This window comes from Homo sapiens, chromosome 17 (assembly GCF_000001405.40).
Source record: "Homo sapiens chromosome 17, GRCh38.p14 Primary Assembly".
Classification (NCBI taxonomy): domain Eukaryota; kingdom Metazoa; phylum Chordata; class Mammalia; order Primates; family Hominidae; genus Homo; species Homo sapiens.
This window is the reverse complement of record NC_000017.11, coordinates 7,288,258-7,315,435: the sequence shown is the minus strand read 5'-3', so window position 1 is coordinate 7,315,435 and position 27,178 is coordinate 7,288,258. Positions and strand designations below refer to the sequence as shown.

General features: G+C 54.1%; 3 protein-coding genes and 1 long non-coding RNA gene across 17 annotated transcripts, besides 15 other annotated features; 3 read left to right on the top strand and 1 right to left on the bottom strand.

Annotated features, from left to right (window-relative positions):
- Positions 76–2,775, top strand: GPS2 (G protein pathway suppressor 2). The gene is made up of 11 exons (NM_004489.5): positions 76–105; positions 317–477; positions 839–948; positions 1,033–1,145; positions 1,277–1,356; positions 1,448–1,530; positions 1,715–1,868; positions 1,967–2,056; positions 2,145–2,224; positions 2,312–2,407; positions 2,597–2,775. Exons 2-11 carry the CDS (start codon positions 384–386, stop codon positions 2,678–2,680), a joined length of 984 nt encoding a protein of 327 aa, NP_004480.1. The 5' UTR covers positions 76–105; positions 317–383; the 3' UTR covers positions 2,681–2,775.
- Positions 134–463: a silencer, noted in NCBI's record as "silent region_8107". NCBI's record gives its function as "represses an Ori minimal core promoter by ATAC-STARR-seq in GM12878 lymphoblastoid cells {active_cell/tissue: GM12878}" and the evidence as "EXISTENCE:reporter gene assay evidence [ECO:0000049][PMID:35858748]".
- Positions 1,411–1,480: an enhancer, noted in NCBI's record as "active region_11611". NCBI's record gives its function as "activates an Ori minimal core promoter by ATAC-STARR-seq in GM12878 lymphoblastoid cells {active_cell/tissue: GM12878}" and the evidence as "EXISTENCE:reporter gene assay evidence [ECO:0000049][PMID:35858748]".
- Positions 2,776–2,972: 197 nt separating the features above from the next.
- EIF5A (eukaryotic translation initiation factor 5A) lies at positions 2,973–8,437 on the bottom strand. 13 transcript variants are annotated; one of them, NM_001143760.1, is made up of 6 exons: positions 8,321–8,437; positions 5,636–5,821; positions 4,314–4,418; positions 3,955–4,086; positions 3,785–3,858; positions 2,973–3,614 (listed from the first exon to the last, which is right to left on the bottom strand). In NM_001143760.1, exons 1-5 carry the CDS (start codon positions 8,387–8,389, stop codon positions 3,796–3,798), a joined length of 555 nt encoding a protein of 184 aa, NP_001137232.1. In that variant the 5' UTR covers positions 8,390–8,437; the 3' UTR covers positions 2,973–3,614; positions 3,785–3,795. The 13 variants fall into 13 exon arrangements, with proteins under 13 accessions (NP_001137232.1, NP_001357349.1, NP_001961.1 ...); NM_001370420.1 differs by having other exon boundaries at positions 8,323–8,434; NM_001970.5 differs by lacking the exon at positions 8,321–8,437 and adding an exon at positions 7,684–7,808.
- Positions 6,352–6,641: an enhancer, noted in NCBI's record as "active region_11610". NCBI's record gives its function as "activates an Ori minimal core promoter by ATAC-STARR-seq in GM12878 lymphoblastoid cells {active_cell/tissue: GM12878}" and the evidence as "EXISTENCE:reporter gene assay evidence [ECO:0000049][PMID:35858748]".
- Positions 7,112–7,231: a silencer, noted in NCBI's record as "silent region_8106". NCBI's record gives its function as "represses an Ori minimal core promoter by ATAC-STARR-seq in GM12878 lymphoblastoid cells {active_cell/tissue: GM12878}" and the evidence as "EXISTENCE:reporter gene assay evidence [ECO:0000049][PMID:35858748]".
- Positions 7,322–7,491: a silencer, noted in NCBI's record as "silent region_8105". NCBI's record gives its function as "represses an Ori minimal core promoter by ATAC-STARR-seq in GM12878 lymphoblastoid cells {active_cell/tissue: GM12878}" and the evidence as "EXISTENCE:reporter gene assay evidence [ECO:0000049][PMID:35858748]".
- Positions 7,852–7,961: a silencer, noted in NCBI's record as "silent region_8104". NCBI's record gives its function as "represses an Ori minimal core promoter by ATAC-STARR-seq in GM12878 lymphoblastoid cells {active_cell/tissue: GM12878}" and the evidence as "EXISTENCE:reporter gene assay evidence [ECO:0000049][PMID:35858748]".
- Positions 7,852–9,494: a biological region, named in NCBI's record as "H3K27ac-H3K4me1 hESC enhancers GRCh37_chr17:7209261-7210072 and GRCh37_chr17:7210073-7210883".
- Positions 7,872–8,682: an enhancer, noted in NCBI's record as "H3K27ac-H3K4me1 hESC enhancer chr17:7210073-7210883 (GRCh37/hg19 assembly coordinates)". NCBI's record gives its function as "activates a minimal SCP1, AML or CMV promoter by ChIP-STARR-seq in naive H9 embryonic stem cells {active_cell/tissue: H9 hESC(naive)}" and the evidence as "EXISTENCE:reporter gene assay evidence [ECO:0000049][PMID:30033119]".
- Positions 8,512–8,811: an enhancer, noted in NCBI's record as "active region_11609". NCBI's record gives its function as "activates an Ori minimal core promoter by ATAC-STARR-seq in GM12878 lymphoblastoid cells {active_cell/tissue: GM12878}" and the evidence as "EXISTENCE:reporter gene assay evidence [ECO:0000049][PMID:35858748]".
- Positions 8,683–9,494: an enhancer, noted in NCBI's record as "H3K27ac-H3K4me1 hESC enhancer chr17:7209261-7210072 (GRCh37/hg19 assembly coordinates)". NCBI's record gives its function as "activates a minimal SCP1, AML or CMV promoter by ChIP-STARR-seq in naive H9 embryonic stem cells {active_cell/tissue: H9 hESC(naive)}" and the evidence as "EXISTENCE:reporter gene assay evidence [ECO:0000049][PMID:30033119]".
- On the top strand, positions 18,540–19,358 carry LOC124903912 (uncharacterized). The gene is made up of 2 exons (XR_007065602.1): positions 18,540–18,634; positions 18,782–19,358. It is a non-coding gene; the product is annotated as an uncharacterized LOC124903912 (long non-coding RNA).
- Positions 18,565–18,614: an enhancer, noted in NCBI's record as "active region_11608". NCBI's record gives its function as "activates an Ori minimal core promoter by ATAC-STARR-seq in GM12878 lymphoblastoid cells {active_cell/tissue: GM12878}" and the evidence as "EXISTENCE:reporter gene assay evidence [ECO:0000049][PMID:35858748]".
- Positions 18,835–18,994: a silencer, noted in NCBI's record as "silent region_8103". NCBI's record gives its function as "represses an Ori minimal core promoter by ATAC-STARR-seq in GM12878 lymphoblastoid cells {active_cell/tissue: GM12878}" and the evidence as "EXISTENCE:reporter gene assay evidence [ECO:0000049][PMID:35858748]".
- Positions 20,533–20,702: a silencer, noted in NCBI's record as "silent region_8102". NCBI's record gives its function as "represses an Ori minimal core promoter by ATAC-STARR-seq in GM12878 lymphoblastoid cells {active_cell/tissue: GM12878}" and the evidence as "EXISTENCE:reporter gene assay evidence [ECO:0000049][PMID:35858748]".
- Positions 20,733–20,852: a silencer, noted in NCBI's record as "silent region_8101". NCBI's record gives its function as "represses an Ori minimal core promoter by ATAC-STARR-seq in GM12878 lymphoblastoid cells {active_cell/tissue: GM12878}" and the evidence as "EXISTENCE:reporter gene assay evidence [ECO:0000049][PMID:35858748]".
- On the top strand, positions 20,797–27,173 carry YBX2 (Y-box binding protein 2). Of its 2 annotated transcripts, XM_017024713.3 has the most exons (10): positions 20,797–21,206; positions 21,898–21,961; positions 23,377–23,410; positions 23,860–23,904; positions 24,254–24,343; positions 24,901–25,185; positions 25,365–25,468; positions 25,711–25,906; positions 26,598–26,687; positions 26,793–27,173. In XM_017024713.3, the coding sequence occupies exons 1-9, from the start codon at positions 20,936–20,938 to the stop codon at positions 26,646–26,648; spliced, it is 1,140 nt and encodes a 379-aa protein (XP_016880202.1). In that variant the 5' UTR covers positions 20,797–20,935; the 3' UTR covers positions 26,649–26,687; positions 26,793–27,173. The 2 variants fall into 2 exon arrangements, with proteins under 2 accessions (XP_016880202.1, NP_057066.2); NM_015982.4 differs by lacking the exon at positions 23,860–23,904.
- Positions 21,270–21,445: a silencer, noted in NCBI's record as "fragment chr17:7197310-7197485 (GRCh37/hg19 assembly coordinates)". NCBI's record gives its function as "represses an EF-1alpha promoter that drives an FKBP-Casp9 reporter gene in an ReSE screen in HepG2 liver carcinoma cells {active_cell/tissue: HepG2}" and the evidence as "EXISTENCE:reporter gene assay evidence [ECO:0000049][PMID:32094911]".

The following is a 27,178-nucleotide window of genomic DNA, read 5'->3' as shown; positions in this document are numbered from 1 at the left end:
TGAGGTCGGCCGCCGCCGTGACTCCGGAAGGACTCGGCCGGGCCGCCGGATGTGACGCAGGGGCCAGGGCGCGTCGGAGCCGCTGAGAAAGCGCAGAGAAGGCGGGTAGGAAGGGCAGTCGTCCGCGCTGGCTGGGCAGGGAGCGGCAGCAGCGAGCCGGGGACCCCGGCGCCGCCCGCGCGCGGTGGGACTGGGGCTGCGGTCCCGGCCGGGTGGCGGGCTCCTGGGACACGTGACCGGGGCGGCGAGCGGGCCGGGCGGACGGGCTTCCGCCTGGGCCGGGCGCGGCCCCCTCTGAGCGCCCGCCTCCCCGCAGGCCCCGTCTGAGGTCTGGCAGTCAGAGACAGCCGGGCGCCCACGGCCCGAGCGCCCACGGCAGCACCATGCCCGCACTCCTGGAGCGCCCCAAGCTTTCCAACGCCATGGCCAGGGCGCTGCACCGGCACATTATGATGGAGCGGGAGCGCAAGCGGCAGGGTGAGCCGGGGCCATAGCAGGGGGACGCACGGCCCAGAATGGCTCCTGTACCTCAAGGCTGGCCTCAACCCACCGGCCAACCAGCGCGCCCGCTGCCGAGCGCAGAGGAGGGAAGGAATAGCCCCGTTGTGGTGGGATTTAAGCGTCCTGTTCCACGCTCCAGAACCCTTGAGATGGGAAGGACCTTGGAGAGCACCTGATAAAGCCTTTCCGTTCCCTATTGCCGCGATGGGGAGCTTGTCCCCTCGAGGCAAAGAGCATACAGGCGTGTTGGGATGACTGGGTTTTGCTGGTCTTCAATCTGTAACGTTGGAATTGTTTTCACTACCCTGCCTCTTCTTCATTCTGCCTGATTCTCCAGAGGAAGAAGAGGTGGATAAGATGATGGAACAGAAGATGAAGGAAGAACAGGAGAGAAGGAAGAAAAAGGAGATGGAAGAGAGAATGTCATTAGAGGAGACCAAGGAACAAGTAAGCAGTCCCTTGAACTTTCCCAGCTTTGATTTCTTCGTTTGACTCTCCCTGCCTTCATCTTCTTTTCCCACCCCATCCCAGATTCTGAAGTTGGAGGAGAAGCTTTTGGCTCTACAGGAAGAGAAGCACCAGCTTTTCCTGCAGCTCAAGAAAGTTTTACATGAGGAAGAAAAACGGAGGCGAAAGGAACAGAGGTGGGATCAGAGTGCTAAAAACTGAAATGGGGGCCAAGTGGAACTGGGATCAGGTAGTAAAAGAACCAGTGTTTAATGGCAAAAGAGAAGGCATCTGTCCTTGACTTTGACCTGTCTTCCTTTCACTCCAGTGACCTGACCACCCTAACATCAGCTGCATACCAGCAGAGCCTGACTGTTCACACAGGAACTCATCTCCTCAGCATGCAGGGTGAGGACTAAAGAAACCACCAGATGGAACCGGCCTTCTTGGAGGTCACAGCCTCCCATTTCAGCATCATGAAGCCCTTCTCCCTTTCTAGGGAGCCCTGGAGGACACAATCGCCCAGGCACCCTCATGGCAGCTGACAGAGCCAAACAAATGTTTGGACCCCAAGTGCTTACGGTGAGAGTAGGATTGGATGCCTAGCCCCTAGTACTTCCATCCATGCATCCTTGCCACCAGTATTCAAGTCACAAACATATCAAGCACTTAAGTTTAGGGGGAAACGGGGCATACAGATACACACAAGTCACTGGGTTTCAGCTTTCAAGGAGTTTGTAGGCGAGTTCTCATTCTCCTTCCTTAGACCCGGCACTACGTGGGCTCAGCAGCTGCTTTTGCAGGGACACCAGAGCATGGACAATTCCAAGGCAGTCCTGGTGGTGCCTATGGGACTGCTCAGCCCCCACCTCACTATGGGCCCACACAGCCAGCTTATAGTCCTAGTCAGCAGCTCAGAGGTGAGTAATAGGAGGGATGGGGCTTGGCCTTCCTCAAGGTCAAAGGAGGAATGCCATTCAGTAAAAGATTTTAATGGCTCTGTCTTTTCCTTTCTCAGCTCCTTCGGCATTCCCTGCAGTGCAGTACCTATCTCAGCCACAGCCACAGCCCTATGCTGTGCATGGCCACTTTCAGCCCACTCAGACAGGTGATAACATCCCATGCAGGAGCTCTAGCTCTCAGGTCCTCCCCTCCCTGTTTCATTCTCATCTCACATGCCCCTCTTCCCCACCTAGGTTTCCTCCAGCCTGGTGGTGCCCTGTCCTTGCAAAAGCAGATGGAACATGCTAACCAGCAGACTGGCTTCTCCGACTCAGTGAGTATGGCACCTTGGGAGGTCAGGGTTAGGGATATGTTAAGGGGAGCTTCAGTATGCCTCAGGCCCTGACTCTGTTCTCTGCAGTCCTCTCTGCGCCCCATGCACCCCCAGGCTCTGCATCCAGCCCCTGGACTCCTTGCTTCCCCCCAGCTCCCTGTGCAGATGCAGCCAGCAGGAAAGGTAAGAATGGTAATAGAATTTACCTGTCAGAATCCCTACACTAGGGATCCGGAAAAGCAGGATTAGGTAGGACAGGTGGCCCACATCATCTGGTTTTTCCTTCCTCTTTGGGGGTGGTTATCAGTAGGGTATTAAGTGGAAGGGAGAGTATGCCCAGTGACAAAGCCCTCTTTTCATCACCACCACCAGTCGGGCTTTGCAGCTACCAGCCAACCTGGCCCTCGGCTCCCCTTCATCCAACACAGCCAGAACCCGCGATTCTACCACAAGTGACCATCAGATTATATCTTCAACACCACACCCCCCACCCCATCGTGGGTGAGGGTATCCCCTGTGTGTCCCAGGCCAATAAAATCTACCTGCCACTGCCCCTGGCTGCTGCTGTTTGTGTTGCCTCCCACCCAACTGTCTGGAATAGGTCAAGGTTGCTTGGAGGGTGGGGGGATGGCTGGCAGGTCCACAGCAAGTCAAAGTGATAGACAGCGGGTTCCAGTGAACTCAGTGGCAGAGTTCAGTCTTTTTGTGGCTTCCAAATACACCCATTTAATTCAAATAAGCAGCTGAGTTGGGGGCTTCATATTAAACTTGTAGTTTTATTCAGGTTTGATTTTAACAAATGTGTCGGGGAGAGAGCCCGCAGGGAAGGGTAAAGCCCATGGGGGCAGGGCCCTCCCAGATGCCTGAGGAGGGGGCAGGTCCCCTCCCCTCTCCTCCTCTTCCCTCCCCATCTAAAGGGGTTTGGGGAGAGACACAGGCAGGCGAGGGGGCTGGTCCCCAGTCTGTTGGGGTGGTGCTCAGGGTAAAGGGCTATAGGCAACAGGGGACCAGACCAGGGATGAGTGGGGAGGGCACAAGGACCATTTGCCAGAATCCACCGCTTTCTGATTCCAGATTGAATTAAAAAAAAAAAAAAAAAAAAGACTAAACCACAAGCAGCACCCACCCCCTTCTCCCCCACCAGGGCTGTAGTGTGAGGGGAGAAGAGGAGGGCAGCTTCACCAAGGCCACAGCTTCGCTCGCTCCTGGCCAAGGGAGCTAGGTGAAGGGCAGGGGCTCCCCGACAGATTGAGGGGGTGGGGAAAACCAAAATAAAACGTCAAATAAATTGTGTAGGAGGAGTCCAGCTTAGGACCGGGCCAGAGCCAGGCCAGGCTCGGGGAGGGGGCCTCTGCAGGTTCAGAGGATCACTGCTGCCACCACCGCCACCCTAGGTAGGAGAGAGAAATTAGTAAGACAGGATAATACCTTCAACAGGAAGGATAGGGAGGACAGAGCCAGGCTAGGGGCAGAAAGTAAGCCTGAAACAATTAAGACTACAGCAGCTCTGCTGAGGACAACAAAATGTGAAGGGGACAGTGAGGGATTTGTCACACTCACCTGGGAGCCAGTTATTTTGCCATGGCCTTGATTGCAACAGCTGCCTCCTCTGTCATGGCAGACAGCACCGTGATCTGGAGAAGCAAGAGGGATAGCCAAGAGATGTCTGAGCTCAGGAAGAAACGTACAGAACAAAGCTGAGCACAGAAGCAGGGAGGGAGGCACCATACCAGGATCTCTTCTCCACAGTCGTACTTCTGCTCAATCTCCTTGCCAAGGTCTCCCTCAGGGAGACGAAGGTCCTCTCGTACCTCCCCGCTGTCCTGGAGCAGTGATAGGTACCCATCCTGGATGCCAATCAGCTGGGGGCAGATAGGGAAGGAGGCTGAAGGTAGTAGGCCCAGGGAGGCTGACATGACAGTAAAGGCTCTGATAGACAAACTGGACTGATAGCAAACTAATACCAAACACCCTCTCCTGCCATTTCCCTCCTCTCTCCCAGCACAAGCTCTCCTGGTCAGTCCCTATCCCCCAACCCCTCCCTCCACCATAAACCGCTAACCCATCCTCATCCAGACCATCTACATACCTGGAAGTCATTCCTTTTGATGTTGGGGACATCCATATTATGAGTTGACGGGCAGATATCTTCATATTTCTTCCCAGTAAAGATGTCAATACCAACCAGATGGACCTGTATGTATGCATCACAAAGAGAAACCCAACCAAACTCTAAAACGGAGGAAATAAAGGCTCAAATTGACCTTGCCTGATGAGGGAAGTCAGAATTACATTGTTGGGGCAAAGACTGGAGTGTTGGAATTGAACCAGTCAACTCAAGAAACAGTAAAGCCTCTTAAAGAAAAAAAACAGAGGCTAAAAAACCACCGTTGAGATTGGGGTTGACAGCACAATAGAAAACTGCATGGCAGGCTTGGAGAAGACAGTTACCTTGATAAAAGATAAGATGCTAAGAGTCTAGGGGAGTGGGAGGAGTCTGAGTAAAAGTTTCGAAGAGTTTTCCGGACACCAGGAGAAGGAGCTGAGAAACTGGGGAATAAGGAAGGTAGAAGGGAAAGGATAAGAAACTAAGAAATGTGAAAGAGCTGAAGAAAAGGACTTGCAGGGAGATCAGAAATAACTATGTAGCTAGAAAATAAGGAAGCCAGAAGAGCACAGAGAGGGATCCAGACACTAGAGAATAATCCAAGATCAATGTCAAGTCAAAAGATGGAAAAACTGATTAAGGAAAAACACCACAAGAAATTCAACAAGAACGAATCAGGTTGAAATTCTAAAGAGACAGGAAAAGTCTGAGGTGATGAGGGAAGTGCTAGCAAGAATGTTAAAACCCATGAAAGCATGGAGGCTCAAGGAACCCAAGGAGAGTGGGATGGGGCAGGTAGGGGCAGTTTGATCCTGCGTCAGAGTTCCAAAGGGAAAGCTAGAACTGGGGAACGAAGCAGCAAGGTGACCTGAAAGCTCAGAATTGACGCAGGAGTCCCTCCAGGGGAAGGCGTAGAATTGGAGAAACCCTGGGCAACGTGATGGAAGCAACCACTTAACAACGGCTCAAGGGAAGAAAGAAAAAGTGAAAACCAAGAATAAGGAAGGAGCAACTGAATAGCTAGAGCATAAAGGCCTATGAATTGAAGAGATTGGCACAAAGCTGGAGAAACGGAGGGACTGCCAGAGAATGATGCGGGGACAGAAGGGTAACCACAGAAGAGGCTGAAGACTGGGGAGCAGGTGTAGTTGTCTGAATGGGTATGAAGGCTGAGCGCTAAACAAAAACAATCAGACAGTAAAAGCAGAGTTAAAGGAAAGTCAGCACTGTTGGCAGCTTGCTGCTGGGAGCGCCAAAGATACTGGAGGCATGGGGAAGGCAAGATGCGGAGGTGAAATTCTAACCTTGGCGTGGCCGTGCTTGCCAGTCTTCGAAGTAGACATCTCGACGATCTTACATGGCCGGCCTTTGAGCACCACAAAGCCATTCTTACGTAATGCTGAGCACTGCATTGGGAAGGTGGCTGAGGCCCCTGCATCTCCTGTCTCGAAGTCCAAGTCATCTGCCATTTTAAGAGGCTTCGATTCCAACTAGAGCCAAGAAGAGAACTGAAGTGAATAAGCATGGAGGTCAACAGGACCTCCAATCTATCCCATTTCTCTCCAGAAACATTTTCCCAACTCTTTATTCCATTACCCACCTAAAATAAAGTCAAAGTTCCTGAACTTAAAATACTGACTGGGCTCAAATATACTCAAGAACTGGTGTGTGTATGGGAGGGTGGAATAGCTGGTTTCTCCCCCATAAATCAAAGCTAAAGTGGTGGCTTGGGAAAGGAAGGCTCTAGGGAGCTGGAATGTCAAATCTCAGAGATGAGAAAAGGCCTACTTCCTGGGAGTGGGGAGGACTCAGGTGTTACTTGCCACTGAAACCAACCACCCCTCTTCCCCACATATAGCCAGGGCTATAATTAGGTGAGCAGCTATGATCCAGCAAAAGGGCAGGGCTAATTGGGGGGGGGGAGGGTGGAGACCGGAGGACAAGGCCCCACCCATCTGTTACACTGCCCCCCCCCATCCACACACAAACCAGTCACTGCTACAGGAAACCACAAGGCCTCTTTGGGGGATTCCCGCCTCGCCAACATGCACTTGCAACAAGCCAAGGGGGAGAAAGCAAAGTTGTTTCCGAAATGATCCCCCTGCCAAACACCTCGATCTTGGTTCCCAAAGAGAACCCAGGAACCCAGCCTCTCCTGGAAGGCCCTCCCACTTTTCCCAGGATGCATCTGTCCTGTCGGCTTTTCAGGCCGGGCCAGTACAGTCAGTAGAAAGTGGGAGAGGTGGGGGGTGGTGAATGACAATAAAATGAAAGCAAAAGGTTGGTAGTAGTGAGTAGTAGAAAATCATACTAGGCTAGTAGAGTTAAGGACTTCGAAACCGTGGAACTCCCAAACCAGTTACAACAGGAAGACAGTGACAAGGTGAAGAACGCCTATCACGGTGGGAAACTCATCTGCCTGAGGCTTTTAGGCGCTGTCCACCCAGGCCGACAGAAAAGTTGGGCTCCTGTCCAAACGCCCTGTTTCCCCATTTCTCCGGCCTCCCAGCTCGAAGGGGTGCCACTTACACCTGGCTGACCGCCACACTTCACAGGAGGGTTTTTCAGGAAAGCTCCTGGGGCCCTTGAGGTTGGGAAGCGCTAACATATGCCTGCAGCAGGCCCTCCGGGGTGATTAGGACCCGAGCCTCCGGCTTCCACTCCTCAAAATCTCAGGCCCCCTCGGAACCCCCGCGAGGACTAGCTCCCCGCGCTAGGGGCTGCCGGCTCCTGCCGACCATGTGGCCGTTCCGGGCTTCCGGTGGCCGGGACCTGGGGGGAGGGGTCCCCGCGCTGCCATGCGGCCCCGGTCCACGCTTGGCCATGCGGCCTGCGACCCCGAGGGCAGCCTCCCGTGGGGGGCACTTCCGGTGCCGCGGCCGCCCCCTCCTCAGAGACTGCGCCAGGCCGGAGCCACGCCGCCTCCCCTCCCCCCGGCCGTCCGCCAACCCCCCCCATCATGCCCTCTCACCGAATAGCCCCCTCCCCCACCTCACGTGGCCGCGCTGAGCCGGGTCCTCAACGGCCCAGGTACCCTTGCCCCGGTGGGCCGATCTGGCCCCTGGCCCTCGCCCCGGCGTGGCCGCCTGGCGGCCTCTCCCGCGTGGCTGCCTCGCGGCTCGCCGTCCCCCGCCCTGCGTCGCTCCAACGTCACCGGGCCAACCCCAACCGTCACCCCGCGCGCCAACCGGGGCGCGCGCCCGCGCCTCTCCTCACCTCGCGCCGCTCTCTGGCCGAACCCGTGCGGCGGCGGCCGCCGCTCCCCTCTGCCCCCTCCCCGACCCCCGCGCAGTTCCATCTTCTCCCGGGCCCAAGCCAAGGTACCGCGCACACGCGCCCTGCCCGCTCTCACCTCGCGCGAACGCACTGACTCGACCCCGTCCGCTCGCCGCGAGCCCAACCGCTGCCTCCGAGCCCGCTGCCGCCGCCGCCGCCGCCTCTACCGCCGCCGCCGCTGCTGCACACGGGTCTTAGTACGCAGGCGCCGACTCCCCACTGACCAACCAAGCAGCCCTATGACAGCCGCGCAAGCGTGCTATCTATCTCCTCCGCCCTCCACCCCCGCACTGCGCAAGCGCACACACCCTACCCATCTCCACCCTCCCTCCCACCGACCCGTCCAATGACGCGCATACGTGACCCCGCCCCTCACAAACCCTGAGCGTTTTCAACTAATCTGCAACGCGCAGGCGCACCCGGTTTTTTAATCTCTTCAACCTCATCTTCCCTCCCCTTGATAGACCGCTCGTCCTACCGGGCAGTCCTTGCGCCTGCGCAATAAGGAGCCCTGCACTCCACACCCTCTAAAGGAAACGCCTGGGTCTCAGAACGCATGCGTGTTCGGAATCCTAAACAACCCCTTCCACCTCAGACGCCGTCAGTACGCCAGGCGTTGAAAAGACCACGCCGCTAGATCACTTGTCTCGTCTAGAACGCATGCGTCTCAGGATACGCCCCACCTCGGCTTTAACTGGACTTAAACGACTCACACGTTTCAGAAAACTTGCTCTGTGGGGTGGGCGCCTTGTCTTGGAATCAGTCCCCCCAGTTCCACACATGCGCGGGAGATGTCTTTCCGCCCCACTCTTCTAGCGCGCTAGTGTGGTCGGGTTCCCACCCATCTCGGCTTCACTTCTCTAAATCGAATGCCTATGCTCTGCCATAGAGTTCACCCGAGAAGATAGAGCGGTCCTGCGGCGGACACCATCTTCTTTAAACCCTCAGTCCGTATTGGTCTCTATGGCATCCATAGAGGCCATTCGGCTCTGAGGTCCTCAGTAAAGAAACTTAGATGGTATTACTGTGTTTTCCCCAACTGTGCTCTGCGGTTCCCCAAAGTATTGTCTACGAGGTCCCTTAGAAAAAATTGTCTATAAAAATGAGTGGTGGGCCGGGCGCGGTGGCTGACACCTGTAATCTCAGCACTCTGGGAGGCCGAGGCGGGCGGATCACCTGAGGTCGGGAGTTCGAGACCAGCCTGACCAACATGGAGAAACCCCGTCTCTACTAAAAATACAAAATTAGCCGGGCGTGGCGGCGCATGCCTGTAATCCCAGCTACTCGGGAGGCTGGGACAGGAGAATCGCTTCTCCTGTGGAGGTTGCCGTGAGCCGAGATTGCGCCATTGCACTCCAGCCTGGGTAACAAGAGCGAAACTCAAGTCTCAAAAACATAAATAAATAATACATAAATAAAATAAAATAGTGGTAGGCCGGGAGCGGTGGCTCACGCCTGTAATCCCAGCACTTTGGGAGGCCGAGGCGGGCGGATCACAAGGTCAGGAGTTCAAGACCAGCCTGGCCAACGTAGTGAAACCCCCGTCTCTACTGAAAATACAAAAAAATTAGCCGGGCGTGGAGGTGGGCGCCTGTACCAGCTACTCGGGAGGCAGAGGCAGGAGAATCGCTTGAACCCAGGAGGCGGAGGTTGCAGTTAGCCGACATCGCACCACTGCACTCCAGCCTAGGAGACACAGCGAGAGACTCTGTCTCAAAAAAAAAAAAAAAAAAAAAAAAGTGGTATGTTAGATTACATTGACATTGTCTTAATCATAGGAGACCATGAAGCTGGAGACGAGCTATCTTCCCAACTTTATTTTCTTTGCCCTCCCTCTCTCCGCCCCCCATTTCGCTTTTCCTGAAACTTCGTAGTCTTCTTCCAATTCCTGGGTTTCTTGCACTACCTTCATGGCTGCCTTGTTGGATAACAAGACTGAAACAAGCGGCCAGGCGCAGTGGCTCACACCTGTAATCCCAGCACTTTGGGAGGCCAAGGCGAGCAGATCACTTGGGTCAGGAGTTCCAGACCAACCTGGCCAACATGGTGAAACCCCGTCCCCACTAAAAATACAAAAATTAGCCGTGCCGTGGTGGTGCGTGCCTGTAATCCCAGCTACTCGGGAGGCTGAGGCAGGAGAATCGCTTGAACCCAGAATGTGGAGATTGCAGTGAGCCGAGATCTCGCCAATGCACTCCAGCCTGCACGACAGAGCAATACGCCATCTCAAAAAAAAAAAAAAAAAAAAAAAGACAGAAACAAGCGACCAAAGATCTTGGGATCTCATCCTTCTTTTGTGTCTTTAAGGAATTACTTCAGATAGCTCTGCCTTAATTTTCTTCCCATAAAATGAGAATAATAATGATGCCTGAACTTCCCAATTTTTCAGGACGTTGCAAAAATTCTGCAACATGGGTTGGGCATAGTGGCTCATACCTGTAGTCTTAGCTTTTTGGGAGGTCAAGGTGGGAGGCTCCCGTGAGGCTAGCAGTTACAGACCAGACTGGGCAACATAACAACGGCCCATCTCTACAAATAAAAAATTAAAAAAACAAAAACAAGAAAAGCTCAGCTCAGTGGCTGGTGCCTGTAGACCTAGCTACTCTTTCTTGGGAGGCTGAGGTGGAGGGATAGCTTGAGTCTAGGAGTTCGAGGCTTCATTGAGCTATAATCCCCACCACTGCACTTGAGCCTGGGCAACAGAGAACCTGTTTCTTAAAAAAGAAAAAAAAAAAGTCTTGTGACACGATACATGTGAACTGCAAACACTAGATTGAATTACTACATTTGTGTAGCCTGTTATGCTAACCCCCAGCTACTTCCCCTCAATTTTCTGAAATTCATGCCCTTTCCTTTGTAAAAAAAAAAAACAAAAACAAAAACAAAAAAACGCAAACAACTTTGTGAGTACATTGTTCAAAAGTCCAACACCTGCTTTTCTCAAAGCAAAGTATGTATTGTTCATGTGACCCAGCAATTCCACTCCAACGTATATATACTCCCAATGAATTAAAAACAGGTACTCAAAGAAAATCCGGGCCGGGTGCGGTGGCTCACGCCTGTAATCCCAGCACTTTGGGAGGCCGAGGCGGGCGGCTCATGAGGTCGGGAGATGGAGACCATCCTGGCTAACACGGTGACACCCCGCCTCTACTAAAAATAAAAAAATTAGCCGGGCCTGGTTGTGGGCGCCTGTAATCCCAGCTATTTGGGAGGCTGAGGCAGGAGAATGGCAAACCTGGGAGGTGGAGCTTGCAGTGAGCTGAGATCTCGCCACTGCACTCCAGCCTGGGCAACAGAGCAAGACTCCATCTCAAAAAAAAAAAAAAGCAAATCCGGGCATGTGAGTGTTCATTAGCAGCAGTTATTCACAGTAGCAAAAAAGGTGGAAAGAACCCAAATGTCTGTCAATAGATGAATGGATTTTTAAAATGTGGTATATCTATACAGTGGAATATTATTTAGCCATAAAAAGAGATGAAGTACGTGCTATAACTGGATGAATATTGGAAAACATTATGCTAAGTGAAAAAAGTCAAGATGCAAAAGGTCACATATTCTATGATTCCACTCTTAGAAAACATCTAGAATAGCCGGGCGCAGTGGCTCACGCCTGCAATCCCAACACTTTGGGAGGCTGAGACGGGTGGATCACCTGAGGTCGGGAGTTTGAGACCAGCCTGACCAACATGGAGAAACCCCATCTCTACTAAAAATACAAAATTAGCCTAGTGTGGTGGCGCATGCCTGTAATCCCAGCTACTCAGGAGGCTGAGGCAGGAGAATAGCTTGAAGCAGAGGTTGCAATGAGCCGAGATCATGCCGTTGTGCTCCAGCCTGGGCAACAAGAGCAAAACTCCATCACACACACACAAAAATTAACCAGGCGTGGTCATATGTACATGTAGTCCCAGCTACTGGGGAGGCTGAAGCAGGAGGATTGCCTGAGCTTAGGAGTTCAAGGCTGTAGTGAGCTGTGATCACACCACTGCACTCCAGCCTGGGTAACAGAGTAAAACCCTGTCAAAAAAAAAAAAAGAAGAAAAGAAAAAAACAGAAATGTTGTACATAAATGTTCAAAGCAACATTATTACTTTTTTTTTTTTTTGAGACGGATTCTTGCCCTGTCACTCGAGCTGGAGTGCAGTGGCACGATCTAGCTCACTGCAACCTCCGCCTCTCGGGTTCAAGCGATTCTCCTGCCTCGGCCTCCTGAGTAGCTGGGATTACAGGCACCTGCCACCACGCCTGGCTAATTTGTCTATTTTTAGTAGAGACGGGGTTTCATCATCTTGGCTAGGCTGATCTTGAACTCCTGACCTCGTGATGCACCCTCCTCGGCCTCCCGAAGTGCTGGGATTACAGGCGTGAGCCACCACACTTAGCCTGACCTTCTTTCTAATTTATATATTGAGCATTTCTCTTCTGTTCACATAGAAGTTTCCTTCTTGGGCCGGGCGCGGTGGCTCACGCCTGTAAACCCAGCACTTTGGGAGGCCGAGGTGGGCGAATCACAAGGTCAGGAGATCGAGACCATCCTGGCTAACACGGTGAAACCCCATTTCTACTAAAAATACAAAAAATTAGCCGGGCGTGGTGGCATGTGCCAGTAGTTCCAGCTACTCGGGCAGTAGTTACAGCTACTCAGGAGGCTGAGGCAGGAGAATCACTTGAACCCAGGAGGCGGAGGTTGCAGTGAGCTGAGATCGCACCACTGCACTCCAGCCTGGGCGACTCTGTCTCAAAAAAAAAAAAAAAAAGAAGTTTCCTCCTTGAGAAATAATTCGGCCGGGCAAGGTGGCTCACGCCTATAATCCCAGCACTTTGGGAGGCTGAGGCAGGTGGATCACAAGGTCAGGAGTTCAAAACCAGCCTGGCCAAAATGGTGAAACCCCATCTCTACTAAAAATACAAAAATTAGCTAGGCGCAGTGGCAGGTGCCTGTAATCCCAGCTACACAGGAGGCTGAGGCAGGAGAATTGCTTGAACTCGGGCTTCAGAGGTTGCAGAGAGCCAAGATCCTACCACTGCACTCAGGCCAGCCTGGGCGACAGAGTGAGACTCCACCTCAAAAAAAAAAAGAAAAGAAAACAAACAAACAAAAAAATTAGCCAGGTGTGGTGGCGCATGCCTGTAATCTCAGCTGCTAGGGAGGCTCAAAAAAAAAAAAAAAACACACACAAAACAAAACAGAGAGAAATGATTCGGCCAGGCACGGTGGCTCACACCGGTAATCCCAGCACTTTGGGAGGTCGAGGTGGGCAGATCACCTGAGGTCGGGAGTTTGAGACCAGCCTGGCCAACATGGTGAAACCCCGTCTCTACTAAAAATACAAAAATTAGTCAGGCATGGTGGCATGAGCCTGTAGTCGGATCACTTGAGGTGAGGAGGCTGAGGTGGGAGGATCACTTGAGCACAGGAGGTCAAGACTGGAGTGACCCCTGGTCATGCCACTGCACCCCAGCTGGGGTGACAGAGCAAGACCATGTCTGGAAAAAAAAAAGTTCAGTGCCATATTATTTGTTGTGGTTGAGAATTGGAGGTGCCATGGGTGCTCCTCAGTGGAACTGTGAGCAGGTAAAATGTGGCACAACTCATACTGCAGAGCATGGCGCAGCAATAGCTTTGATCATCATAGAGCATGGGTGGATTTTAACCACATAGTACTAACTGCAAATAAGATCAGAACGAAATCTATAACAAGATGTTATTTAGGGAAATTGAAAATGCACACAAAAACATACAGCAGATAAGACAAGGAGGTAGAGGCTGGAGAAAATGTCAAGGCTTTGACAGAGTGCTAGCCCAGCCTGCAAAGAGGGAAGGACAGTGGAAAGAGCAGCTAAAGAATAAATGTGTGGCCAAGCGCAGTGGCTCACGCCTGTAATCCCAGCATTTTGGGAGGCCGAGGTGGGCAGATCACTTGAGGTCAGGAGTTTAAAGCCAGCCTGGCCAACATGGCGAAACCCCATCTCTACTAAAGATACAAAAATTAGCCAGGCATGGTGGTGCACACCTGTAATCCCAGCTACTTGCGAGGCTGAGGCAAGAGAATCACTTGAACCCAGGAGGCAGAGGTTGCAGTGAGCCAAAGTGCGCCACTGCACTCCAGCCTGGGCAACAAGAGCAAAACTCTGTCTCAATCAATCAATCAATAAATGTGCCAGCCGGGCGCGGTGGCTCACGCCTGTAATCCCAGCACTTTGGGAGGCCGAGGCGGGCGGATCACGAGGTCAGGAGATCAAGACCATCCTGGCTAACACAGTGAAACCCCGTCTCTACTAAAAATACAAAAAATTAGCTGGGCGTGGTGGCGGCGGGCGCCTGTAGTCCCAGCTACTCGGGAGGCTGAGGCAGGAGAATGGCGTGAACCCGGGAGGCAGAGCTTGCAGTGAGCCAAGATCGCGCCACTGCACTCCAGCCTGGGTGACAGAGAGAGACTCCGTCTCAAAAATAAATAAATAAATAAATAAATAAATAAATAAATAAATAAATAAATAAATGTGAGAGGATAAGATGGACAGTGTGGGTATGAAACACTGTTGCTGTTGGGAAATAAGAGAGTAGTTATTAGGACAGAGAAGAGGTAAACTCTGATTTGGGCTGCAACAAAAAAGTTGGAGTGAAAAGTTTCTGGGAGTAGATGGCACCAGGGGATAGAGGTGACATCATCTTTTCTTTTGTTTCTTTCTTTCTTTCTTTTTTTTTTTTTTTTTTTTGAGACGGAGTCTCGCTCTGTTGCCCAGGCTACAGTGCAGTGGTGTGAAGAGGGCCCACCACAGCTTGGACTTCCCAGGCTCAAGTGATCCTCCTAACTCAGCCTCCTGAGTAGCTAGGGTGCACCACCACATCTGGCTAATTTTTTTTTTTAAGTTTTTGTAGAGACAGGGTCTTGCTATGTTGCCCAGGCTAATCTCAAACTCTTGGGCTCAAGCGATCCTCCCACCTTGGCCTCCAAAAGTCTTGGGATTACAGGCATGAGCCACCGCACTCAGCTGACACCATTTTTTCAATCGTTCAAATATTATCTCAGTTTGATCACACAAATCTTCACCTTTATTGTGCTAATCCTGGGCCTCCAGGGAGACTGTTCTACGCAAAATGACTGTGGATAAGTGGTGATGACGTAAACTCAGTGAGGAGGGAGAACGGAGGGAGGAAAAAGAGAAGCTTAGACTTGGATGCATCAAATTCCAGAAGCCTGAGGAGCTGTTGGCTGGAGAGACTCCCTGACTTGGGCATCTGGCAGAAGGTGGGAGGGACTCAGGAGTGGAGACACAAATTTGAGAGCCATCAGAAAGTGGTCACCGAAGCCAGGGAAATGGATAGAACAATCTAAAGAAGGGTTGTCTGGGTGCGATGGCTCACATCTATAATCCTGGCAGTTTGGGAGGCCGAGGTGGGTGATCACTTGAGGTCAGGAGTTCGAGACCAGCCTGGCCATCATGGTGAAACTCCATCTCTACTAAAAATACAAAAATTAGCTGGGCGTGCCTGAAATCCCAGCTACTCTATCTCAGGAGGCCGAGGCAGGAAATTCACTTGAACACGGGAGGCAGAGGTTGCAGTGGGCTGAGATCGTGCCACTGCACTCCAGCCTGGGTGACAGAGTGAGACTGTATCTCAAAAAAACAAAAAAAAAGAGAAGACAGGAAAACATGGCCTAGGAAACAGTGGGGTTGGAGAAGGAGAACAAGCATAACAGGAGAGGTGTGAGGTGACAGGGAAGGTTGGGTTGTGGAAGCTGTGGCAGGAACACTTCATTTGACGGAGTCCAAAGGGAACCAAAGCCATCCACTGCACGTCTCAACTGAGAAGGGACAGTGGGGCATTGCTGAAGCTGTCGCAGTGGAGTGATGGGGCAGAAACCAGATTTGGGTTGGTGGGTTGTGAAAGAAAGTTGAAGTAAACACAGCAAAGACTGGTTTCAGGAAATTTGTTGTTCAAACAATGGAGAGGTACAGGGCAATAGTCGAGAAAGCAGGATTTTGTTTTGTTTTGTTTTCTTTTTTGAGACGCAATTTCACTCTTATTGCCCAGGCTGGAATGCAATGGCATGATCTCGGCTCACTGCAACCTCCGCCTCCCGGATTCAAGCAATTCTCCTGCCTCAGCATCCCCAGTAGCTGGGATTACAGGCATGTGCCACCATGCCCGGCTAAATTTTTATATTTTTATTAGAGGCGGGGTTTCACCATGTTGATCAGGCTGGTTTTGAACTCCTGACCTCAAGTGATCCTCCCACCTTGGCCTCCCAAAGTGCTGGGATTACAGGCGTTAGCCACCACGCCCGGCCTGTTTTTTATTTCTATTTTTGAGACAGGGTGTCACTCTGTCACTCAGGCTAAACTGCAGGGGCACAATCACCACTCACTGCAGCCCTGACCTCCTAGGCTCAAGCAATCCTCCCACCTCAGCCTCCCAGGTAGCTGGGACTACAGGTGCATGTCACCATCTTCAGTTAATTTTTGTATTTTTTGAAAAGACGGGGTCTCATTATGTTGCCCAGGCTGGTCTTGAACTCCTGAGCTCAAGCAATTCTCCTGCCTTGGCCTCCCAAAGTGCTGAGATTACAAACATGAGCCACTGCACCCAGCCTGTTTTTGTTTTTAAGTAATGAACAAAACAGTCAGGTAAAGAACACTTCAGGTGAGCAGGAACTAATGGAAAGGAAGCGACAGAAAAAGAAGGAAGCCTTTTCACTAGAATTCCTGGAGCCCTTGTTATCTATAGTACTTAAAAATATTTAAATAACCAGAAAATTATGGCCAGGCTTGGTGGCTCACACCTGTAATCCCAGCACTTTGGAAGGCCAAGGTGGGCAATGGCTTGAGCCCAGGAGTTCACTAGGGTGAAACCCCCTCTCTACAAAAAGTTCAAAAAAATTATCCGGGCATGGTGGCATGTGCCTGTAGTCCCAGCTCAGGAGTGGGCCAGTTAACTACAGGTGGGAGGTTGAGATGGGAGGATCACTTGAGCCTTCAAGGTGGAGGCTGTAGTGAGCTGAGATTGTGCCACTGCACTCCAGCCTGGGTGACAGAGTGGGACCCTGTCTCAAAAAAGAAAAAGAAAGGCTGGGCGCAGTGGCTCACGCCTGTAATCCCAGCACTTTGGGAGGCTGAGGCGGTCAGATCACGAGGTCAGGAGATCGAGACCATCCTGGCGAACACTGTGAAACCCCGTCTCTACTAAAAATACAAAAGAATTAGCCAGGCATAGTGGCAGGCGCCTGTAGTCCCAGCTACTGGGGAGGCTGAGGCAGGAGGATGGCATGAAGCCGGGGGGTGGAGCTTGCAGTGAGCGGAGATAGCGCCACTGGATTCCAGCCTGGACAACAGGGCAAGACTCCATCTCAGAAAAAAAAAAAGAAAAAGAAAATTACATGCACAAATCCTTCAACTGAAGAGGACAATGAGCTGCATCGCTCCGTGGTATCTGCGAATTCTCCTCCATGGGGATGGAGAGCACATAGCTGTTGAGCTGTTGCCAGTGTAGCTGTTGTTTCAACAGCCAGGAGTACATTTCCCTGCAATGCTCCCACCTCTGGTCTCCTCACATCCTCACATTTTCTCTTCTTTTCTTTTCTTTCTTTTTTATTTTTTTGAGACGGAGTCTCGCACCGTCGCCCAGGCTGGAGTGCAGTGGCGCGATCTCAGCTCACTGCAAGCTCCGTCTCCTGGGTTCACGCCATCCTCCTGCCTCAGCCTCCCGAGTAGCTGGGACTCCAGGCACTTGCCACCACGCCCAGCTAATTTTTTGTATTTGTAGTAGAGACGGGGTTTCACCATGTTAGCCAGGATGGTCTGGATCTCCTGACCTCGGCCTCCCAAATTGCTGGGATTACAGGTGTGAACCACCGCGCCTGGCCACTTTTTTTTTTTTTTTTTTGGCAGAGTCTCACTCTGTTGCCCAGGCTGAAGTGCAGTGGCGCAATCTCAGATCACTGAAATCACTGCAACCTTTGCCTCCCGGGTTCAAGCGATTCTCCTGCCTCAGCCTCCTGAGTAGCTGGGATTACAGGCGCGCACCACCATGCCGGGCTAATTTTTTTTTTTTTTTTTGAGAGGGCATCTGGCTCTGTCGCCTAGGCTAGAGTGCAGTGGCGCTATCTCGGCTCACTGCAAGCTCCGCCTCCCGGGTTCACGCCATTCTCCTGCCTCAGCCTCCCCAGTAGCTGGGACTACAGGCGCCCGCCACAACACCCGGCTAATTTTTTGTATATATATATATATTTTTTTAATAAAGACGGGTTTTCACCGTGTCAGGATGGTCTCGATCTCCTGACATCGTGATCCGCCCGTCTCGGCCTCCCAAAGTGCTGGGATTACAGGCGTGAGCCACCGCACCCGGCCAATTTTCTGTATTTTGTAGTAGAGATGCAGTTTCACCATATTAGCCAGGCTGGTCTCGAAGTCCTGACCACAGGTGACCCACCGGCCTCCTCATCCCAAAGTGCTGGGATTACAGGAGTGAACCACCGCGCCCGCCCCATTTTCTTTTTCTTTCTTTCTTTCTTTTTTTTTTTTTTTTTTTGAGGCGGAGTTTCGCTCCTGTTGCCCAAACTGGAGTGCAATGGCATGATCTTGGCTCACTGCAGCCTCAGCCTTCTGGGTTCAAGCGATTCTCCTGCTTCAGCCTCCCAGGCAGCTGGGATTACAGGTACACGCCACCACGCCCGGCTAATTTTTTGTATTTTTAGTAGAAATGGGGTTTCACCATGTTAGCCAGGCTGGTCCCGAACTCCTGACCTCAGGTGATCCACCCACCTCAGCCTCCCAAAATGCTGGGATTACAGGTGTGAGCCACCACATCTGGCCATTTTCTTAATCTTACTACAAAAAGGTTCAGCTTCCCTTCCTAGGTCCTCTCTTCTCACCCTCCAGCCTGTAGCTAACGGGCCCACTCCTGAGCTCCGCCTTCCATGTGATTCTTTTGCTGCAGCGGTCACACTGTGAGGTTTCTTGCCTGCCTTCCCCAGTCTTGGTCTTAGGCTTCTCCAATTTCTTGAGCTCAGGGCTAGGCACGGGTAAGTCGGTCCTTAACAGTCTAAGGCCAGTGGTCATTCTTGTATGCTTCACGGCCTCGTCTTGCTACTTAGTTGTTTTCTTGTCTCTTCTCTTTTTCTGTCCACTGTGCCCGATGCCCCGGAAATCCGAATCTTCAACTCTGAAAGGGCCGGAGGGGTGCGGCGGGCGATAGATAGCAAGTGGAGGGTCAGCGAGGAAGCGGAATCCGGCGGCCTCCGGGAGCGGCCGGCAGAGGGCGCGCCGGGACCGGGAGAGGCGACTGCGGCTGCTGCGGGCAGCTGGCGGCGAAGGAGACGCGGAGGACGCCAGCCCTTGGGAAGCGCACGTGGGGCTTGCCCAGCAGCGCCTGGGGGCACGTGTGCTGCCCCGGGGCGCGCTGCCCTGGCTAAAAATACAACGCGCACCCGCGTCCTCCCTGGTGGGGGAGGCGGCCCTAGGGAGGAGATACTGCTGGAGCCTCGTTTTTCTGGGATTACAGGCGTGAGCCACCGCGCCCGGCCCATTTTCTTAATCTTCCCAGGCTCCCGAGAAACCTGGTACAAGCCTCGCACTGCCCCTCAGTCCTCTCATCTGTGGAATGGGGGCCGTTCATGTATTCGATAAATATTGAACGTGTACGTTGTACCAGGCACTGCTGCAGGCGTCCAGCTTAACTACAAGGCTCTTACTGCTGTGGAGTTTACAGCCCACTGTGTGCAGGGAAATAAAATAAGCAAATGGTCAGGATCATGTCATATTTTCAAAAATGCCATTAGAAAAATAAGGAATGGTGTGATGGCGAAGAGTGGCACGTAAGCTGCTGCTTGGAGAGAGCCACCTGGAGACACGAAGGCGCGTTTTCGGCAGAGGAAACCGCATGTGCAAAAGGCCTCGAGTCCGCTGGAGCTTGACGCCTGGCCGGAGACCACAGCCCCCGGCATACAGACGTGAGAGACCCCAAAGCCAGTCTAGGGCGGTAGACATCAGAGCTGCAGCGGTCGGTATGGGCCACATGGGTGGACACATTGATCAAAACTCAGCGAAGGCCGGGCACGGTGGCTTACCCTGTCATCCCAACACTTTGGGAGGCTGAGGCGGGCGGATCACCAGAGGTCAGGAGTTCGAGACCAGCCTGGCCAATATGGTGAAACCCCATCTCTACTAAAAATACAGAAATTAGCCAGGTTGTGGTGGCGCAAGCCTGTAATTCCAGGTACTCAGGAGGCTGAGGAGGGAGAATCGCTTGAACCCGGGAGGCAGAGGCTGCAGTGAGCCCAGATCGCGCACTGCGCTCCAGCCCGGGCGACAGAGGGAGACCTTGTGTCAAAACAAACAAACAAACAAACTCAGCGAAGAAGAATTGCGCATTGTACTACTTGTAAACCTTGTTTCCAATACAAACATAGGTAGGGGCAGGCCGGGAGCCACCTTGAGGTGGCTCAAGGCAGGAGAATCGCTTGAACCAGGGAGGCGGAGGTTGTAGCGAGCCGAGATCGCGCCACTGCACTCTAGTCTGGGCGACAGGGCGAGACCCTGTCTCAAAAAAAAAAAAAAAAAGAAAAGAAAAGAAAAAGAAAGAAAAAAGAAAAGTAGGGGGTCCTGGCTCATGGGAGCAAGTGTGAGCCGGGAAAACCATTCTGCTGCGCTTTCCAGCCTATCCTGCGGTTGGATCCCGCAGCCCCAGGGTGTGCAGGGCCGTCCTGTGGGGAGAGGGTGCCAAGGGCGGTGGTGGCCGGAAGGCGTCTGCACCTGGCAGCATACGGGCAAGGTCGGTCTCGAGGGTGGAGGCGAGCGGTGCTACTCACTGCCAGAACCGAGGCTGCAGATTCCCGCCCCTCGCTCAGGTCGTTAGGGGCAACCTTGGCACTGCGGCCCCGGCCCCGCCCTTCCCGCAGAGGCCAGGTGGCGGTTGGGGCGCGACCGGCCCGTTTGATTTCCCGCGGCCGGTGGAAAGGGGCGGAGGGGGGAGGGGAAAGGGGCCGCCGGCCAATGGGTTGGGCCGGGGGCCGTCACGTGGCGGCCAGGGGGCGGGGCCCAGGTGTACTTACTGGGCGGCTGGCGGGGGCCGGGGCCGCGGTGCGAAGTCCGGGAGGCGGGGTCGGCGTGCGGTCCGGGGGTGCTGCTGGGCTGGGATTGGCCCGTGGTCGGGAGGCGGGGTCTGCGCGAGCGGCGGCAGCGGGCTGCCATTGGCCTCGGCTCCGGGCCCGCTGCCGGCGTGTGGGCGAGGCTCGGGGCGCGAGGACCGAGCAGGGCGGTGGGTTCGCGAGCCGGGGGGAGGGGCCGGGGCGGTGGCGGCTGTGGCCGGTACTGGACCCGGCGGGATGAGCGAGGTGGAGGCGGCAGCGGGGGCTACAGCGGTCCCCGCGGCGACGGTGCCCGCGACGGCGGCAGGGGTGGTAGCGGTGGTGGTACCGGTGCCCGCAGGGGAGCCGCAGAAAGGCGGCGGGGCGGGCGGCGGGGGCGGAGCCGCCTCGGGCCCCGCTGCTGGGACCCCCTCGGCGCCGGGCTCCCGCACCCCTGGCAATCCGGCGACGGCGGTCTCGGGAACCCCCGCCCCCCCGGCCCGGAGTCAGGCGGACAAGCCGGTGCTGGGTGAGGGGCAGGCGCGCACAGGGCGGCTCTGAGGGGTCGGCGGGCTGGGGGAGGGGCAGTGTGGAGCCCGGCAGGATCCGGAAAACCAAAGGCGGCCTGGCCCGCAGGCCCAGAGCGCTAACTGGGCTGGGAGCTGCGCACCAAAGTGGATTCCCCTGGTGGGAAATCCTGCCGTACCTTCCTGGGAGAGAGGGCGGGGCCGGCAGGTTCAGCTAAGGTCTTGGGGTGGAGAATAAAGCCCCAGGGTCCGGCCACGCCCCCGGGCGGGACACAGTGCCTAGTTGACTGGGTTAGAACTAGGCAAACCTCTGAGCCTGGCAAGCAGGTGCACTGGGGACCCTTGCATTGGGAGGGCTAGAAAAACCCTCAGTTATGACCTGGGGGCGGCACTTTGCAGACCAGGTGAGTACCCAGTTCTAGGTGAAGGGGCTGGATTTGTAGGATGTGGGGAACGTGACTTAGAGTTGGAAGGCTTTTTGAAAGCCTGAGTCCCTGTGTGGGTGATTTCATTTGGTGGACTAGGGTAGGAATACCTTGAAGCTACTAGTGAAACCTGGTTGGCTTGAAGGTAACCTGAATAGGTAATAAGGCAGTAGGCTAGATTTTTTTTTGTTTTGGAGTGTCTCAAAACTGAGTTCAACTCCATCTCTTCCCCCCATCTCACTGTCCCCACTGCATCTCTGCCTGGCAGCAATCCAAGTCCTGGGCACTGTCAAATGGTTCAACGTCCGGAATGGTTACGGATTCATCAACAGGTATCCAAGGAACCCAGGGCGGGGGTGGAATGGGTGTCTTCCCAGCTGGCCTGTGGGACTGGACACCCGCCCAACCTCATCGACCCCTGCGGAGGCACATGGTTGCAATGTCCAGCTGATGCTGGTTGAAAGCCTTTAACCGCAGCACAAATGTGTGCTTCGTGACAAGAGGAAGCCTCCTCCGCATCTTCAAGGGTAGCGGAGGATTAATGATTCAGGAACTTGGCAAACCTGGCTCTGACCCTGCCAGCTTCTCATCTCACCTTCTGGAATTGCTTCATTACTTTTACTCTGACATGCCTTTGGGGCAGAATGTATTATAGGGTTCTCTGTGCCTCAGGGCCCCCGGCTGGAATCCTCAACTGATTTCCTGTTATGGCAGCACTCACAACTCAACTCCCTTAAAGAGCTGTGGCTCATTCGAGCCCTCCACCTGTTGGGACTGAGGCTGACAGTGGGGGTCAGGAGGAAGGAGCCAGAGGCTGCTGCTTTCCTTCAGTAGGCAGCCCCACCCCTCAGCACCGGGAGAGGCTGTGGCAGTGGATTCTGAGCAGAGCCAGGTCTCCCCCAGTGGGCCCTTCCCCAGCCCAGGCATCCTGCCCGGCCTGGCTCTCCTGGGAGGCCCTAGTTCCCTCTTAGCAGGCTGACCTTTGTGCAGATCCAAGTGCTTTAAAGCTAAAACGTTTGTTCTGGGGAAGGGTCCCTGTCTAATTCTGGAAATGGCAGACTGGGTCGGGGGCAGAGTGCCTCCAGGAAAACTTTTCCTTTCTCCCCTCCCCCCACCCACTGGGGTTCTTATGATAGAGAATGGGTGAATGTTTTCTTCTCTCTCACCCTTGGTCCCACGCGTGTTGAGAGTGGTCCTGACTCTGGGATTCACCTCCAGGCTGAGGATGAGAATAAAGTTTGGCAGCTGTTTAGAGCAAGTTCCTGACACATTGTTCCCTTCTCAAACTTGTTCTGCCCCTCTGGCCCCATCTGCACTTTCTGCCTCCTTGACTATAGAAGGAAGAAGACTGGAATTTTCCAACCCTGATGGGGGTTGGGGGAGGGGGTGTTGGCCAGGGACAGTTGCACCCAGCGCTGGCAGGTTGTAAGGCTAGCCTGGGGTGGAAGGTGGAGTCCCGGCAGGGGCAGAGCTGTCTGAGGTTCCTCAAGGTGCCTTTGCCTCCCCAGCCTGCCCTTTCCTTGTGAAGTCCAGGTTTGGCACTGAGGTTTTAGGTGTATCTCTCTTTACACCAGCTTCTGGGGGCCCTGCTGGCTCTCCCTCCCATTCCCCAGGCCATGTCCACCCCTAACTGGAATGCTGGAGAGGATGGGCCCACTGAGCTTAGACTGGGCATCTAGGGGGACCTCAGTGAGGAGCTGAGGGCTTTGTTGAAGTCCCTTCCTTAACGACCCATCCTGTTCTGCAGGAATGACACCAAGGAAGATGTCTTTGTTCACCAGGTAAGAGCTAGGTTAGCTTTCTGAGGGGAAGAACCGGCCGTCTTTGAAGGCCTTTGCTGTAATCCTTAGCAGTGCGCTCCGCCATGTTTCTCTGGCTCTTCTTCACAACGGCCCATCCGCCTTGGGTGCCTGTGTCAACCACCATTAGCCGCACTTGTGCTGGGTTACTAAACGTCCGTCAGAATTGAGCATGTTACCCCTGGGCATGGCACGCTTACTACCCACCGGGACCTGTTAACACTCCAGGAAGCACTGAGGCAGTTTTCAGAGGGAGAAGGTCCTTGGGTGCAGTGGTTCTCAAAGCGTGGCCCCTGCACCAGCGGCAGCAGCATCACCTGACATCCGAATTCTCAGGTCCCACCCCAGACCTGGTGAATCAATCAGAGCTGGGGCTGGGGCTCCACAATCGGTTTAACGAGCTCTCCAGGTGATTCTGATGCACGCTACAGCTTGAGAACCACTGCTTGGTGGAAAGAGCTCTCACTGGGACTGAGGTAAGAAGCACAGTGCATTCTACCCACTTTGCGACTGAAGGCTGTCCCTGCCTTTTGCTTTGGAGTTCATATTTCTTGCCTCCCTTTCTGAAATCCCTGAGGGGTAAAGCGGGGCGGGAGGGGAGGTGCGGGGAGTGCATCCTGGGGATGGTGGTAACTGCACAATCTGCTGAGGCCCTGAGTTCAGGACTTTTCCCCTGCTAAACTTTGACCACCTCCTTGCTCCACCCTCCAGCTCTAGACCCCAAGTCAAATGTTGAAAGAATGAAATTGGGTGGTGGCCCCAGCAGGGGTGACAGAGACTCCTGTCTTGCTGTCTCACTTTTCACATGGCCTTTTCCCCAATCAGACAGCTATTAAAAGAAACAACCCCAGGAAGTTTCTGCGCAGCGTTGGAGATGGGGAGACTGTGGAATTTGATGTCGTGGAAGGAGAGAAGGTTTGGGGACTGCTATGGGGTATAGAGTTGACTAGGCTTACGGGAGGGTGGCCTGGAGGTCATCACAGGCTAAGACCCTCCTGGGGCCAGCTCTGACCCGTTCTGCGGGAATGGGACTGTGTTCTCTCACCCTGATGTCCTCTTCCTTAATGCTAGGGCTAAGGGATGTCCTAAGTATGTCCCTGTCATCGGTCGGCAGTGTCTGGGTTTCTTCTCTAGTTCACCAAGCACTTCGACATCCGTTCTCCACGTGGGGCCCTGTCCTAGACTTCCCGAGTCCGCCTCTGGAGTAAAAAGGTGGATGCTGGCTGCCAGGCCTTTCTCCACCCAGTCGTATACTCAGGAGGGTGCAGTAGCAATTATTTCAAAAGGACATGTTGCTCCTTCCCAAATGGGTGCAAGCACATTCCACTGCCTCTCCAGGGAGGGTAGAAAGAAGTTAGAGGAGCTAAAGGAAAGCTGGAGAGGGGTCTTCCCCTGAAAGAAGGGGAAGCAAGTTGGGAAATGCACATTGGCTGTTGGAGCAGGTTCTCACTATTCCCTTACCACCTTCCCAGGGCGCAGAAGCCACTAATGTAACTGGGCCTGGGGGAGTACCCGTGAAGGGCAGCCGTTATGCCCCCAACCGACGTAAGTCCCGCCGATTCATCCCCCGGCCTCCCTCAGTTGCCCCACCACCCATGGTGGCAGAGATCCCCTCGGCGGGGACAGGACCTGGCAGTAAAGGGGAGCGGGCTGAAGACTCTGGGCAACGGCCCCGACGATGGTGCCCCCCACCCTTCTTCTACCGACGGCGGTTTGTGCGAGGCCCCCGGCCTCCCAACCAGCAGCAGCCTATAGAGGTGAGGGGATGCTGGAATATGGGAGCCAGTTCCCCAAGTTCAGGAGAGGAGTGGGAGTTAGGATAGAGACCATGGGTCCCCAAAGAAGGAGGAACTGAGGGTTGGGCAGAGCTGTGGATAATCTGGCTCCAGAGCAGCTGCTGTCCCCACAGCTCACCGGGGCCTTTGCATGTTCCCAGGGCACTGACAGGGTAGAACCCAAAGAGACAGCCCCATTGGAGGGGCACCAACAGCAGGGAGATGAGCGAGTCCCCCCGCCCAGATTCCGGCCCAGGTACCGAAGGTAAGACCCCCCTGCTGGGGCTTGGTCTTCCCCTTCCAGTGTTGGATCCTTGGGGCAAGGGACAGGAGGATGGAAGGGTGAAGCTCTAGGCAGAGCCTGGGCTCCTGGCGAGACAGGTGCCTTGCGGGGAGGCAGTGCTCATGGGCTGGAAGCCTGGCTCCTGGAGGTGGGGTGGGGCAGCTGGGTGAGCCCTGGGGAGGGAGTATTCCCTGGTCCCCTCAGAGCCTTGTTCCTTGCCTTAGGCCTTTCCGCCCCAGGCCACGCCAGCAGCCTACCACAGAAGGTGGGGATGGTGAGACCAAGCCCAGCCAAGGTCCCGCTGATGGTTCCCGGCCTGAGCCCCAGCGCCCACGAAACCGCCCCTACTTCCAGCGGAGACGGCAGCAGGCCCCTGGCCCCCAGCAGGCCCCTGGCCCCCGGCAGCCCGCAGCCCCTGAGGTGAGGACCTCAGATGTGGGATGAAAGAAAAGGCTGAGACCAGCTCCCTCCCCCACCTGCTCCTTTTTCTTTCCTACTCTATCCTTTGGCTCCTCCCCTCCCCTGCCCTGGCCCTGCCACCACCCTCTTCCATGCAGCCTGCTGGGTCCCCCCCTGGCAGGTGCCGCCTCCCACCAGGAAGCCCCCACAGAGGCAATCAAGCCCATGATTGCCCATGATGGCCATGCCCCCCCCAACCCATCCCCCACTTGCTGCCTGGAGCCATCCTACCAGCTTGTAGATGTGAACTGAGGGGTGTGATTGAGGTTTTAATGGGAAGGGAAAAAGTGAAAGAAGGTTGAAGTTCAGGGCCCTGAAGAACAAGTCTCAGCCCTGCGCGATGTCTCATGCCTGTAATCCCAGCACTTTGGGAGGCAGAAGCAGGCAGATCAGTTGGGGTCAGGAGTTCAAGACCAGCCTGACCAACATGGAGAAACCCCGTCTCTACTAAAGATACAAAAATTAGCCAGGCGTGGTAGCACATGCCTGTAATCCCAGCTACTTGGGAGGCTAAGGCAGGAGAATCACTTGAACTGGGAGGGGGAGTTTGCAGTGAGCCAAGATCACGCCACTGTACTCCATCCAACCTGGAGTGAGACTCTGTCTCAAAAACAAAAAGAACAAGTCTCAATTGGCCACCGCTGTTCTTTAGACCTCAGCCCCTGTCAACAGTGGGGACCCCACCACCACCATCCTGGAGTGATTCCAACTCAACTCAGAGGACACCCAGAGCTGCCATCTGGTGAGTGGCTGGTGCAGTTGGGTGGGTGGCCAGGAAGGTGAGGTACTGGGTGGCGATGACAAGTCGCTGTTGTTCACAATCCGTCCATTTCCTTTTCTCTCTCAGGTATCTGCCAGTTTTTCCAAATGACCTGTACCCTACCCAGTACCCTGCTCCCCCTTTCCCATAATTCATGACATCAAAACACCAGCTTTTCACCTTTTCCTTGAGACTCAGGAGGACCAAAGCAGCAGCCTTTTGCTTTTTCTTTTTTCTTCCCTCCCCTTATCAAGGGTTGAAGGAAGGGAGCCATCCTTACTGTTCAGAGACAGCAACTCCCTCCCGTAACTCAGGCTGAGAAGGAACCAGCCAGCTCTTACCTCCTCCTGGTTGCTTTTCTTGCCCCCACCCCAAGTTTATTTTTGTTTTCCCCCGGCCCCCTACCTCTGAAGCCATTTTATGATCTGTCATGTGCCACCTGAGCCTCCAGTAAAAACAAAAACAGGCTTTCC

What these genes read in the sequence shown, in the direction of transcription:
- YBX2 (XM_017024713.3), top strand. Translation starts at nt 20,936, where the DNA reads ATGAGCGAGGTGGAGGCGGCAGCGGGGGCTACAGCGGTCCCCGCGGCG. An exon ending in GGTTACGGATTCATCAACAG is followed by an intron (nt 21,962 to 23,376) that starts GTATCCAAGGAA and finishes CCTGTTCTGCAG; the next exon opens with GAATGACACCAAGGAAGATG. An exon ending in TTCCGGCCCAGGTACCGAAG is followed by an intron (nt 25,469 to 25,710) that starts GTAAGACCCCCC and finishes TCCTTGCCTTAG; the next exon opens with GCCTTTCCGCCCCAGGCCAC.
- EIF5A (XM_017024301.3), bottom strand. Translation starts at nt 5,793, where the DNA reads ATGACTTGGACTTCGAGACAGGAGATGCAGGGGCCTCAGCCACCTTCC.
- GPS2 (NM_004489.5), top strand. Translation starts at nt 384, where the DNA reads ATGCCCGCACTCCTGGAGCGCCCCAAGCTTTCCAACGCCATGGCCAGG. An exon ending in TCATCTCCTCAGCATGCAGG is followed by an intron (nt 1,357 to 1,447) that starts GTGAGGACTAAA and finishes CTCCCTTTCTAG; the next exon opens with GGAGCCCTGGAGGACACAAT. An exon ending in TCCTAGTCAGCAGCTCAGAG is followed by an intron (nt 1,869 to 1,966) that starts GTGAGTAATAGG and finishes TTCCTTTCTCAG; the next exon opens with CTCCTTCGGCATTCCCTGCA.